Source organism: Homo sapiens, chromosome 1 (genome assembly GCF_000001405.40).
Source record: "Homo sapiens chromosome 1, GRCh38.p14 Primary Assembly".
NCBI classification, from domain to species: domain Eukaryota; kingdom Metazoa; phylum Chordata; class Mammalia; order Primates; family Hominidae; genus Homo; species Homo sapiens.
Window position 1 is genome coordinate 7,868,839 of NC_000001.11, and position 13,609 is coordinate 7,882,447.

The 13,609-nt window shown below is 43.7% G+C and overlaps 1 protein-coding gene across 1 annotated transcript in view, besides 2 other annotated features; it reads right to left on the reverse strand.

Moving 5' to 3' along the window:
• Positions 1-13,609, reverse strand: part of UTS2 (urotensin 2) — a 65,638-nt gene that overhangs the window by 21,227 nt on the left and 30,802 nt on the right. The gene's annotated exons all lie outside the window — the stretch shown is intronic.
• Positions 387-1,586: an enhancer, noted in NCBI's record as "P300/CBP strongly-dependent group 1 enhancer chr1:7929285-7930484 (GRCh37/hg19 assembly coordinates)". NCBI's record gives its function as "activates an origin of replication core promoter dependent on BRD2, BRD4, P300/CBP, MED14 and CDK7 cofactors, with strong dependence on P300/CBP, by STARR-seq in HCT116 cells {active_cell/tissue: HCT116}" and the evidence as "EXISTENCE:reporter gene assay evidence [ECO:0000049][PMID:35650434]".
• Positions 6,747-7,246: an enhancer, noted in NCBI's record as "H3K4me1 hESC enhancer chr1:7935645-7936144 (GRCh37/hg19 assembly coordinates)". NCBI's record gives its function as "activates a minimal SCP1, AML or CMV promoter by ChIP-STARR-seq in naive H9 embryonic stem cells {active_cell/tissue: H9 hESC(naive)}" and the evidence as "EXISTENCE:reporter gene assay evidence [ECO:0000049][PMID:30033119]".

Genomic DNA, 13,609 nt, shown 5'->3' on the forward strand with positions numbered 1-13,609 from the left:
GAGCAGATCATGAGGGTGAGACCCCCATGATGGGATTAGTGCCCTTATAAAAACAGGAAGAGACAAGAGAGCTCTCTCTGCCTTGTGAGGACACAGGAAGAAAGAAGGCCACCATCTGAAAACCAGACACCAAACCTTGATCTTAGACTTTGCAGCCTCCAAAACTGTGAGAAATGAATGTCTGTTGTTTAAGCTCCCACTCTATGGTATTCTGTAATAGCAGCCCCAACAGACTAAGGCAGGCAGCACATGCCCAGTGTCTCTAGGAAAGAGGGATGGAGCTGCAGCAACACCCCTTTTTCAGATGGCAGAGGCTGCCCAAGGTGGAGAGGCCTGCCAAGGTCCTGCAGCTGACCTTGATGGGCCTGCAATGGGAACCCAGGTCTGGCAGGACTGTTGGTTCCTTTCACTGTATTTGACATCCCCTCAAATGACCTTGACCATCTGGGAAGGTGGGAGGTGTGTGACTGAGCCCTTTCAAGGGCAGCCCCCGGCGGCTGGGGTACCGCCACTGTGGAGGTGCCCAAGAGAAGCAATTGTGTGAGGTTGGACCACATGGCTCTGCGCATGCCTCCCCAAAATAGGGGTGAGCACGTGGGGAAAGGGCTGCATTCTTAGTGATGAGAGTGCTATTCCACAGGCCGAGGTTTTTATAACATGCTTTGAAAAACAGGCCTTGAAAATGCTGCCTTTCTAGGGGACCTTGTGGGCAGCCACAGATGGGCTGAAGCTTAACTTCCAGGCATCATTTTTCTTGCAGAAATGTCCATCACCATCCTGGTGACCTAGAAGGCTGCTGCACAAAGAAGAATGGGCTGCCAAGGAGCGATGTTCCGGGTCTGGATTTAGTCCAGCGGGGGATGCGTCACGCACCCGAGTGATGGCCAGCGGAGAGGAAGTCTGACGTGGAAATAAATATCTGCTCCGCTTATTGATCTGATTCATCCAATTACCTAGGAGGTTTGATTGAGAGAGGTCCGAGGAAATGACTCAGATGTCACCTGAATGATGCCTGAAAGGCTTCAGCCAGCATTTTTCTCATATCACTGATATCAGAGGAGACTTTTAGTTACTGAGAACATTAATTGCTGCTGAGAGCCAGGTGTGAAGTTAAATGGAAATGAAAAACTCCAACAGCTGAGCTCCGTGTGATGGTTCAGTGGGGAGAATGGGTGCCGAGCTGAACTGGGCCAGCTGGCTAATTTTACTTGACAGTTTTCATTTCTATTTCTTCTCTTTAACTCATAAATAATGGAAAATCGCTGTTACGTGCTGAGTTGTGTACCCCCAAAACTCATATGTTGAAGGTCTAACCCCCGGTACCTTCAAAGGTGGCTGTATTTGGAGATGAGCTATTTAAGTAGGCAAGTAAATTAAAGTAGGCCCTGGTCCATTAGGACTGGTGTCCTTATAGAGAGAAGATGAGGACACAGATGCACAGAGGGACGACCGAGTGAGGACACAGGGAGAAGAAGGCATCTACAAGCCAAGCTCAAGAGAGGCCTTGTGGGGAACCAGCCCTGCCAACACCTTGATCTTGGACTTCCAGCCTCCAGGACTGCAAAAAATTTCTTTTCTGTCATTGAAGCCTCTCAGTCGGTTAGTTTGTTGGTTAGCTTGTTATGGTAGCCCCAGCAAACTAAGACAGTATCCTTCACACTTCTATTCCACTTCCAGTCTAATCACCAAACTAAGTAAATTCTGCGTAGTGCATCAGAGGACCTAACAATTCACAGGGGAATTTGATTTTTCAGGTGAGAAAACTTTCTTGTCCACTGAAACCGTAACTAAGCTTTGATTTCCAAAGTTCTCCTTATGGTCATCAAGGCCTTTTGCTTACCAAAGTCCTCCAGTGTAGAGAATAGAGGGAGAGAATCTCTCCTCAAGTTTCTAAAAACAGAGGATATTAAACTAAACTATTATTTCTGCTCAAATCATTTAATTTTTATTACTTTTCCATTGTCAACATTCTCTAGCCAAAGACCACCAGGAGCACACTTATAGCCAAACAAAATTGAGGTTTTTTACTCGTTTCATGAAACCATAAACCACAGGTAACCATGAGGAGGTCTCAATAATATCAAAAAGGACTTATAATGTCTGGGCTTGAGTTGGGTGATTCAGGGGAGGATCCAGGATGCTGTCAGGAAGAAGGGGATGATTCTGTGCTTGGCTATCTTAATAATTCTCACCTAAAAGGCTAAAAGAACCGTGTGAGGCTAAAGCCACTGTTGGCAGAAAAGCAGCCATCACTGACATCAGCCAGGATAGGCGATGAGGGATCATTTTTTTGTTTCAATCTTCTTGCTTTGGTCTGAGCAGACAAAATTGCAGGCAGAGTGGTCTTATTTTGGTCTTGATCTGGTGCCATCATGCATGCTCTTGTCTGAGTTGGTGTTTGTGAGATCGTCCCTGTTCAGTGGGACACAAGGCCAGCCGTGAGGGCCAGCCCTGCTCTCTTCCCACTCCTCTATGTACTTATCAGTCACGTAACACAACGTGCTCTCTCTATGGTGTAGAAGCATGGGGTCATTTACAGGGGCAGCCCCAGCATCCTCCCTCACCTCCCAGGCCCCCTGCCCAGGCTGGCTTCACTCCACAGCCCTGCACCCCACAATGTGCTGTGAATTTGTTGACGTGTGGTTTGTTGATGTCAGCAGGCTCCATGAGGGCAGGGCCGTGTCAGCAGCATACCTTGTTTTATTTATCTTCACTCAATTGTACTTCAGATATTGCATTTTTTTTTTTAAATTGAAGGTCTGTGGCAACTGTGTATCGAGCAAGTCTATCAGCACCGTTTTTCCAGCGGCATGTGCTCACTTTGAGTCTCTGTGCCACATTTTCAGAATTCTCACAATATTTCAAACTCTTTCTTATTATTATATCGCTGAGGTGACCTGTGCTCAGTGATCTTTCATGTTACTATTCGAATTGTTTGGGGGCACCACAAACAGTGCCCATATAAGACAGCAAATTTAACTGATAAAAATATGTGTTCTGACTGCTCCATCAACTGGCCGTTCCCCCATCTCTCCCTCTCCTTGGGCCTCCTCAATTCCCTGAGACAAACAATATTGAAATTAGGCCAATTAATAACCCTACAATAGCCTTTAAGTGTTCAACTGAAAGGCAGAGTCACACATCTCTCACTTTAAATAGAAAGTTAGAAATGATTAAGTTTGGCCGGGCGCGGTGGCTCACGCCTGTAATCCCAGCACTTTGGGAGGCCGAGGCGGGTGGATCATGAGGTCAAGAGATCGAGACCATCCTGGCTAACATGGTGAAACCCCGTCTCTACTAAAAGTACAAAAAATTAGCCGGGTGTGGTGGCACGCGCCTATAGTCCCAGTACTCGGGAGGCTGAGGCAGGAGAATCACTTGAACCCAGGAGGCGGAGGTTGCAGTGAGCCAAGATCGCACCACTGCACTCCAGCCTGGGCAACAGAGTGAGACTCTGTCTCAAAAAAAAAAAAAAAAAAAAGGAAAAGAAAAAAAAAGAAAAAGAAAAAAAAGAAAAAGAAATGATTAAGCTTAATGAAGAAGACATGTTGAAAGCTAGGCCTCTTGTACCAGTTAGCCAAGCTTTACAACTGGCAAAGGAAAAGCTCTTGAAGGAAATCCCAAGTGCTATTCCAGTGAACACATTAATGATAAAGCAAAACAGCCTTCTTGCTGATATGGAGAAAGTTCTAGTGGTCTGGATAGAAGATCAAACCAGTCACAACATTCCCTTAGCTAAAGCCTAATCCAGAGCAGGGCCCTAACTCTCTTCAACTCTGCGAAGGCTGAGAGAGGTGAGGAAGCTGCAGAAGAACTGAAAGCTAGTAGAGGTTGGTTCATGAGGTTTAAGGAAAGAAACCATCTCCATAACGTAAAAGTGCAAAATGAAGCAGTAAGGGCTGAGGGAGAAGCAGAAGTAGGTTATCCAGATGATCTAGCTAAGATCATTGATGAAGGTGGCTACTCTAAACAACAGATTTTCCGTGTAGATAAACCAGCCTTCTGCTGGAAGAAGATGCCGTCTAAGACTTTCCTAGCTAGAGAGGAGACGTCAATCCCTGACTTAAAGCTTCAAAGGACAGGCCGACTCCATTGTTAGGAGCTAATGCAGATGATGACTTTAAGTTGAAGTCAGCACTCATTTACCATTCCAAAAATCCTAGGGCCCTTAAGAATTATGCTAAATCTACTCTCCCTGTGCTCTACCAATGGAACAATGAAGCTTAAATGACAGCACATTTGTTTACAGCATGGTTTACTAAATATTTTAATATTTTAAGCCCACATTTGTGACCTACTGCTCTAAAAAAAATTTCTTCAAAATATTATTGCTCGCAAACAGTGCACATGGTCACTCAAGAGCTCTGATTAGGATGTACAAGGAGATGACTGTTGTTTTCATGTGTACTTACACAACATCCACTCTGATGCTCATGGATCAAGGACTAACTTTGACTTTCAAGTCTTATTATATGAGAAATGTATTTCATGAGGCTTTAGCTGCTGTAGATAGTGATTCCTCTGATGGATCTGGGCAAAGTCAATTGAAAACCTTCTGAAAATGAGTCAACACTCTAGATGCCATTAAGAACTTGTAATTCATGGGATGAGATAAAAAAATCAACATAAACAGGAGTTTGAAAGAAGTTGATTCCCACCTTCATGGATGACTTTGAGGAGTTCAAGACTTCAGTGGAGGAAGGAACTGCAGATGTGGTGGAAATAGCAAAAGAACTAGAATTAGAAGTGGAATCCGAAGATGTGACTCAGTTGCTTAAATTTCATGATAAAACTTGAACTGACGAGGAGTTGCTTCCTATGGATGAGCAAAGACCATCTTGTAGATGGTTTCTTGAGATGGAATCTGCTCTTGGTGAAGATGCCGCCAATATTGTTAAAATGACAACAAAGGACTTAGAATATTCCGTAAACTTACTTGATAAAGCATTGGCAGGGTTTGAAAGAACTGACTCCAATTTTGAAAGTTCTGCTGTGAGTAAAAGGTTATCAAATAGCATCATATGCTACAGAGGAATGTTTTTGAAAGAGTCATTTGATGCAGCAAACCTCATCATTGTCTTATTTTTTTTTTAATTGTGAATGGTAAGAAACATTCTTCAGCTCAAGATGGTGACCAGAGGCATCCAGCACTCACTTCCTTCACAAAGGACTCAAACAGCAAATGAATAATCACATGTCAAGTAGAGCAGCTTAGAAAGAACACTGGAATTCAGAGGGAAAGGACAAGGAACTTCGGAAACATGCAAAGAGAATGATGTGAAGCAGCCGGCCCAGCCAGGATCAGCTCAGATCCAAGAGAAACTGCCCAACGTAGGGAAAAGGTAAATGAGAGATCCCCGCAAGGCTGCATTCCCACCACAGACTCCTGTGGCCCTAGCCACAGAGAGCCCCTTGGCCCTCATGGGCTTTGAGACTAGTATAGAGAGCCGCCTGCATTGTTCCAAAGAGGGATTTTATGATGGGTCCTACACATCCTCTGAGACCTGAGCAGCTGCAGCACAGCACCATTTTGAGAGCCCACCCCTGACCAGACCCCATCCCGCCCTGGGGCTCAACAGCCCCTGCATCTCCACATCCATGGAGTCCTGCTGACATTCCGCCATGTCCACCCAGAAGGCTGCAGCCTCACAATGCAGGGTGACTGGGTCCCCAGCAATCTAGTCTACACATGTCCTATAACCTGGGAATGGGTGGTGCACCACACCAGGGAGGCTGCCCCTGGGACAAAGGGAGCCAAAGCCCATGTTTCCCAGAGCCGCAGAGCTGCCCGCCTGGGACCACTGCCACTGACAGCACCCCCACCATCCCCCCAGCAGCGGGGTCACTGTGCACTTGTGATATGGTTTGGCTGTGTCCCCACCCAAATCTCATCTCCAGTTGTAATCCAAATTGTAATCCCCACGTGTCAGGGGAGGGACCTGGTGGGAGGTCATTGGATTACAGGGGCGGTTTCCTCCATGTTGTTCTCATGATAGTGAGTAAATTCTCATGAGATCTGATGGTTTTATAAGTGTTTGATAGTTCCTTCTTCACACACACTCTCTCCTGTCGCCATGTGAAAATGTCCTTGCTTCCCCTTTGCCTTCCGCCATGACTGTAAGTTTCCTGAGGCCTCCCCAGCCATGCAGAACTGTGAGTTAATTAAACTTCTTTCTTTTGTAAATTGCCCAGTCTCGGGTATTTCTTTTTTTCTTTATTTTTTTTTTCTTTTTTCTTTTTCTTTTTCTTTTTTTAAGACAGAGTCTCACTCTGTCGCCCAGGCTGGAGTGCAGTGGCGCGATCTAGGCTCACTGCAAGCTCCGCCTCCCAGGTTCACGCTATTCTCCTGCCTCAGCCTCCCGAGTAGCTGGGACTACAGGCGCCCGCCACCAAGCCAAGCTAATTTTTTGTATTTTTAGTAGAGACGGGGTTTCACCGTGTTATCCAGGATGGTCTCCATCTCCTGACCTCGTGATCCACCCGCCTCGGCCTCCCAAAGGACTGGGATTACAGGCGTGAGTCACGGCGCCCGGCCAATTTCGGGTATTTCTTTATAGCAGTGTGAAAATGGACTAATACAACCTGCATGCACCTTCAGGAGGCCTGGGGACCGGCTTGCCTGGGCACCTTCCCAGGGCGTGAGGACAAGACCACTCTACCCACCACTGCCACCACCATCTCCACATGTCATCCAGGGGCTGGGAGATTGAACACCCATCACAGCTGTGTTCATGCACACCATTGGGGGTCCTGAAGACAGGCTCACCCACTGACCACAACCGCCACTGACTGTGCACATCATCTGAGGGCCAAGGGACTGACCCAGCCCACCCACTGCTGCTACTGCTTGTGTGCACCATCAAGATGAGGGGACTGAGGATGATCCACTTTTCCCATCACCAGCACCAGCACCAGCCATCATTCAGGAACTTGAGAACAGACCCACTCCGCCCACCATCACTACCCACCAGTCCCTGAGCCTGGGGATGAACCCACTTTGCCCATGGCCTCTGGCACCCATGCAAACTATTGGGGGGCCTGATGACAGGCTTGGCTTACCCCACCCATCGCTGGCACCCATGCATGCCAGAAGGGAACCTAGGGACAGGTCTGCCCATTCACTACCACCACTGCTGGTACCCAAGCATACTCTCCAGGAGCCTAGGGATCGATCCACCTCACCCACCATAGACTGTGCCTGTGCATACCATTTGATCCCCTTGCCTGGCATAGCCATCAGTGCCCATGCACATTGTCCAGAGGTCAGGGGATTGATCTGCCCCCCTGCTGCCACCAGCACCCACACAAACATCCCCAGGGCTGGAGGATGAGTCTGCCCAGCCTTCTGGTGCCCATGAACATTGTCTGGGCCCGGGGGATCAACCTGCCTACCTGCTGCCACCAGCATGTGCTTACACCACGGGGGATATTGAGGATAGGAACACCTTGCCAACTACCACCAGCACCCACACACATCAGGGGCCGAGGAATTGACCCATCCCACTTGCTACCACCAGCACTTGCACACACCTTTTGGGGGCCTGAAGATGGGTCCACCCAGCCTGTTGCCACCAATGCTGGTGCCAGCATGTGCTGCAGAGGGGGGAGGGCATGGATTCGTTCACCACCAGTACTGTTATCATCAATGCTATGCAACCATGAGACCCACTCACCCACCTAGCCCACTACTGCCAATGCTGGCACCCGCAAAAGTCACCTGGAGACCCAAAGATTGTCCTGCCTACACCCACTACCACTGGTATCCTTATACACCATCCAGGGGCCCAAGGACTGGCACACCTGACTTGCCACCACCACCACTGGTGCTGAAAAAAAATCATATAAAGACTATACTTCTGGGTCCACTTAGAATCAAAGCCAAAGTGCCCTACCCAACCAACACTATAGACACATATACAGAAAAAAAGTCTTTTTCTGTGAAAGTCACTCCACAATATTAGAAGAAGCAACTGTTGTACCAAATGTGTAGATATCAATATAAGAACACAGCGGCTGGGCACGGTGGCTCACACCTGTAATCCCAGCACTTTGGGAGACCGAGGCAGGTGGATTGCGAGGTCAGGAGATCGAGACCATCCTGGCCAACATGGTGAAACTCTGTCTCTACTAAAAATACAAAAATCAGCCAGGCATGGTGGTGCATGCCTGTAGTCCCAGCTACTCAGGAGGCTGAGGCAGGAGAATTGCTTGAACCCCAGAGGCAGGGTTGCTGTGAGCTGAGATTGCATCACTGTACTCCAGCCTGGCCAACAGAGTGAGACTCTATCAAAAAAAAAAAAAAAAGAAAAAAAAAAGAAACATGAAAAAACAAGAAACATGAAAAATCAAGGAAACATGACACTTCTACTTCCAAAGGAACACAATAATTCTCCAGCAACAGGCTCCAACAGACTCCAATGAAAAAGAGATCTACCAAATGCCTGGAAAAGAATTCAAAAGTATGCTATAAAAGAAGCCTAGTGAAACACAATAGAACACAATGCAAAGAAATCAGAGAAGCAATTCATGATCTGAATGCGAAATTCAACAACAACAAAATAGATATCATAAAAAAGAACCAAACATAAATCCTCAAATTGAATAATTCAATGAATAAAATAAAATAATACAACTTACAGCTTCAACAATTGACTAGAGCAAGCAGTCTAGACCAAATATTTAAATTTTGGGTAGTCCAGAAGAAGAGATGGACAAAGGTATAGAAAATATACTTAATAAAATTTTCATTGAAAAGACTGGGCGCAGTGGCTCACGCCTGTAATCCCAGCACTTTGGGAGGCTGAGGCGGGAGGATCACAAGGTCAGGAGTTCGAGACCAGCCTGAGCAACATGGTGAAACCCTGTCTCTACTAAAAATACAAAAATTAGCTGGGCATGGTGGCATGTGCCTGTAATCCCAGCTACTCAGGAGGCTGAGGCAAGAGAATCGCTTGAACCTGGGAGGCAGAGGTTGTAGTGAGCTGAGATTGTGCCACTGCACTCCAGCCTGGGCAACAGAGCAAGACTCTGTCTTAAAAAAAAAAAAAATTTGGTTGAAAATTTCTCAAGTCTTGCAAGACATATAAGCATCCAGATACCGGAAGCTCAAAGATTTCCAAATAGCTTCAACCCAAAAAGATCTTCTCCAAGGCACATTATAGTTAAACTGTCAAAAGTCAAAGACAAAGAGAATTCTAAAAACAGCAAGAGAAAAGTGTCAAGTCACATATAAAAGAATCCAGCAGATTTCTCAGCAGGCCTTACAGGCCAGGAGAGAATCAGACAATATGTTCACAGTGCTGAAAGATAATAAAACTGCCAGCCAGGATACTATACCCAGGAAAGCTATCCTTGAAAAACAAAGGAGAAAAAACGTCTTTCCCAGATAAGCAAAAACTGAGGAAATTTATCATCACTAGACCAGCCCTACAAGAAATCCTTATGGGATTCCTACATCTGGAAGTGAAAGGATGGTAGATATCATCATGAAAACACACAAAAGTATAAAACTCACTGGTAGAGCAAACACACAAATGAGAAAAAGAAAGTACTCAAATGTTACCACTACAGAAAACAACCAAACTGTAATGATAAGCAGTAAGAGAGAAAGGAACAAAGGATACTATACAAAACAACCAGAAACAATTTCTATTATTTTTTAACAAATTTTAAAATGACGAAAATAAGTTGTTGCCTATTAATAATAACCTTGAGTTTAAATTGATTAAATTAAGTTGCCTACCTAAAATGTATAGAGCCATGTGCCTGTAGTCACAGCTATACAGGAGTCTAAGATGAAAGGATCACTGGAGCCCAGGAGTTTGTGTCCAGCCTGGGCAACATAGCAAGACCCCACCTTTGAAAAAAAAATGAGAGAGATAAATAGATTGGCTGAGTGTATGAAAAAAATGATCCAACTGCATGATGCCTACAGGAAATTTACTTCACCTGTAGACACATATGGACTAAAAGTGAAAGTACAAAAAACATATTCCCTGCAAATGGAAACCGAAAGAGCCAGGAGTAGCTATACTTAGATAAAACAGATTTTGAGTCTAAAAGTGTTAAAAGAGACAAATAATGTCATTATATAATGATAAAGGGATCAATTCAGCAAGAAGATATAATTCTAAATATATATGCACCGAATACCACAGTACCCAGATACATAAAGCAAATATTATTAGACTAAAGGGAGAGATAGACTCCAATACAATAACAGTTGGAGACTTTAACACCCCACTCTCAGCACTAGACAGATCATCTAGACAGAAAATCAACAAAGAAACATTGGATTTAAACTTCACTTTAGACCAAATGAACCTAACAGACATTTACAGGACATTTTATCCAACAGCTGCAGAATACACACTCATTTCATCAGCACATTAACATTTTCCAGGATAGACCACATGTTAGGCCACAAAACATATCTCGACAAATTTTTAAAAGTCAAAATCATATCAAGTATCTTCTCAAACCATAGCAGAATAAAACTAGAAATCAACATCAAGAGAAACTTTGGAAACTACACAAATACATGGAAATTAAATGACATGCTCCTGAGTGACCACTAGGACAAGCAGAATTTAAAAAGGAAATTTAATAAGTCTTGAAACAAGTCAGGCATGATGGCTCACGCCTGTAATCCCAGTACTTTAGGAGGCTGAGGCAGGTGGATCACTTGAGGCCAGGAGTTTAAGACCAGCCTATCCAATATGGAGACACCCCATCTCTACTAAAAATACAAAAATTAGCTTGGCATGGTGGCACACGCTTGTAGTTCTAGCTACTTGGGTGGCTTAGGCATGAGAATTGCCTGAACCTAGGAAGCAGAGGTTTCAGTGAGCCAAGATTGTGCCACTGCACTCCGGCCTGGATGATAGAGCAAGACTCTGTCTAACAACAACAACAACAACAAAAGTCTTGAAACAAATGAAAATGAAAACAGAATATATCAAAATTTATGGGATACAGCAAAAGCAGTGCTAAAAGGGAAGTTTATAGCAATAAATGCCTACATCTAAAAAGAAGAAATATTTCAAATAAAAAGCCTAATGTTGTACCTCAAGGAACTAGAAAAACAAGAACAAGCCAAACCCAAAATTAGTGAAGGAAAGAAATAATAAAGATCAAAGCATAGTACATTGGCTAACACCTGTAATCCCAACACTTTGGGAGGCTGAAGGGGGAGCATTGATTGAGCCTGGGAGTTTTAGATCAGCCTGGGCAACATAGTGAGACTCCATCAGTATAAAAAATTCTAAAAAATAGGCAGGCATGGTGGCACACACCTATAGTCCCAGCTACTCAGGAGGCTGAGATGGGAGGATCACCTGAGCCCAGGAGGTCAAGGTTGCAGTGAGCTGTGATCGTGCCACTGCACTCTAGCCCGGGTGACAGAGCAAGACCCTGTCTCAAATTTTTAAAATAAAATAAAAATTTAAAAGATCAGAGCCAAAGCAGAACTAAACCAAATAGAGACTTAAAAAATCACAAAGGATCAAAAAAGCCGAAATGTGACTTTTTGAAAATATAAAATCAATAAAACTGCTAGCTAGACTAACCGGGGAGTGGGGTGGGGAGGGGGGAGGGGGGCGGCGAAGAACACAAAAATAAAGAAAATCAAGGAGACATTACAACTGATAAACTGATACCACAGAAATACAAAGGATCATTGGAGACTTTTATGAAAAGCTAAACACTAACAATTTGGAGCACCTAGAGAAAATGGATAAATTATTGGACACATACAACCATCAAGATTGAACCAGGAAGAAATAGAAAACTTGAACAGGCCAGTAACAAATAATGAGATTGAATCAGTAATAAAAAGTCTTCTAAGAAAGCCCAGGACTGAAAGATTTTACTGCTGAATTCTACCAAACTTACAAAGAACTAACACCAATTCTTCTCAAACTCTTCCAAAAGAGAAGGAATTCTTCCAAACTCATTTCACAAGGCCAGCATTACCCTGATACCAAACCCAGACAAGGACACAGCAGAAAAAAGAAAACTACAAGCCAATATTCCTGATGAACATAGACACTAAAATCCTCAACAAAATACTAGCAAACTCAATCCAACAGCACATCAAAAAGATAATACATCATGAGCAAGTGGGATTTAGCCCAGGGATTCCGCAAAGATGGCGCAACATACAAATGTGATACCTCACATGAACACAATGAAGGACAAAAAATCATATAATCATCCCAATAGACACAGAAAGTATTGATAACATTCAACATCCCTTAATGATAAAAATTCTCAATGCATTAGGCATAGAAGGAACATACTTTAACATAATAAAGGCCACGTATAACAAGCCCTCAGCTGACATCATACTGAATGGGGAAAAGCTGAAAGCCTTTCCTCTAATAACTGAAACAAGACAAGGATGCTCACTTTTACCACTCTGATTCAACATATTACTGGAAGTCCTTGCCAGAGCAATCAGGCAAGAGAAAGAAATAAAAGGCATCCAAATTGAAAGAGAGGAAGTGAAATTGTCCCTCTTTGCAGATAACATAATTGTACATAGAGAAAATCTAAAGACTTCACCAAAAAATCTCTTAGAACTGATAAGTGAATTAAGTTGCAGTATATAAAACCAACATACAAGAATCAGTGGTGTTCCCATACACCAATAATGAACTGAGAAAGAAATCAAGAAATAAATCCCATTTACAAGAGCTATAAAATAAATAAAAAATCTAGGAATTAATTTAACCAATGATGTAAAATACCTCTACAAGGAAAACTACAAAACACTGATGAAAGAAATTAAAGAGGACACAAAGAAACTGCAAGATGTCTCATGTTCATGGATCAGAAGAATTAATATTGTTAAAATGACCATACTCCCCAAAGCAATCTATATATTCAATGCAATCCCTATCAAAATGCAATGACATTCTTCACAGAAAAAGAAAAAGCAGCCCTAAAATTCGTATGGGACCACAAAGATCCTGAATAGCCAAAGCAATGCTGAGCAAAAAGAACAAAGTTAAAGGCATCATATTACCTGACTTCAAAACATCCTATAAAGTTAGTAACCAAAACAGCATGGTATTGGTATAAAAATAGACACATAGACCAATGGAAAAGCACAGAAAACCCAGAAATAAATCCGTATATTCACAGCAAATGGATTTTCAACAAAAGCACCAAGAACAGACACTGGGTAAAAGACATCCTCTTCAATAAATGGTGTCCAGGCGTGGTGGCATATGTGTGTAACCCCAACACTTTGGGAGGCCAAGGTGGGAGTATTGCTTGGGCCCTGGAGATCAAGACAAGCCTGGGCAACAAAGGGAGACGCCATCTCTACAAACACTTTAAAAATTAGCTGAGTGTGGTGGATAGTGCCTGTAGTTCCAGCTACTTGGGAGGCTTAGGTGGAAGTATTGCTTGAGCCCAGGAAGTCAAGGCTGCAGTGAACTATGATAGTGCCACTGCACTCCAGCCTGGGCAACAGAGTGAGTTCCTGACTCTAAATAAATAAATAAATAGTGCTGGAGGAACTGAGTATCTATATGCAGAATAATTAAACTAGATGTGTATCTCTCCCCATATACAAAAATCAACTTAAAATGGATTAAAGACT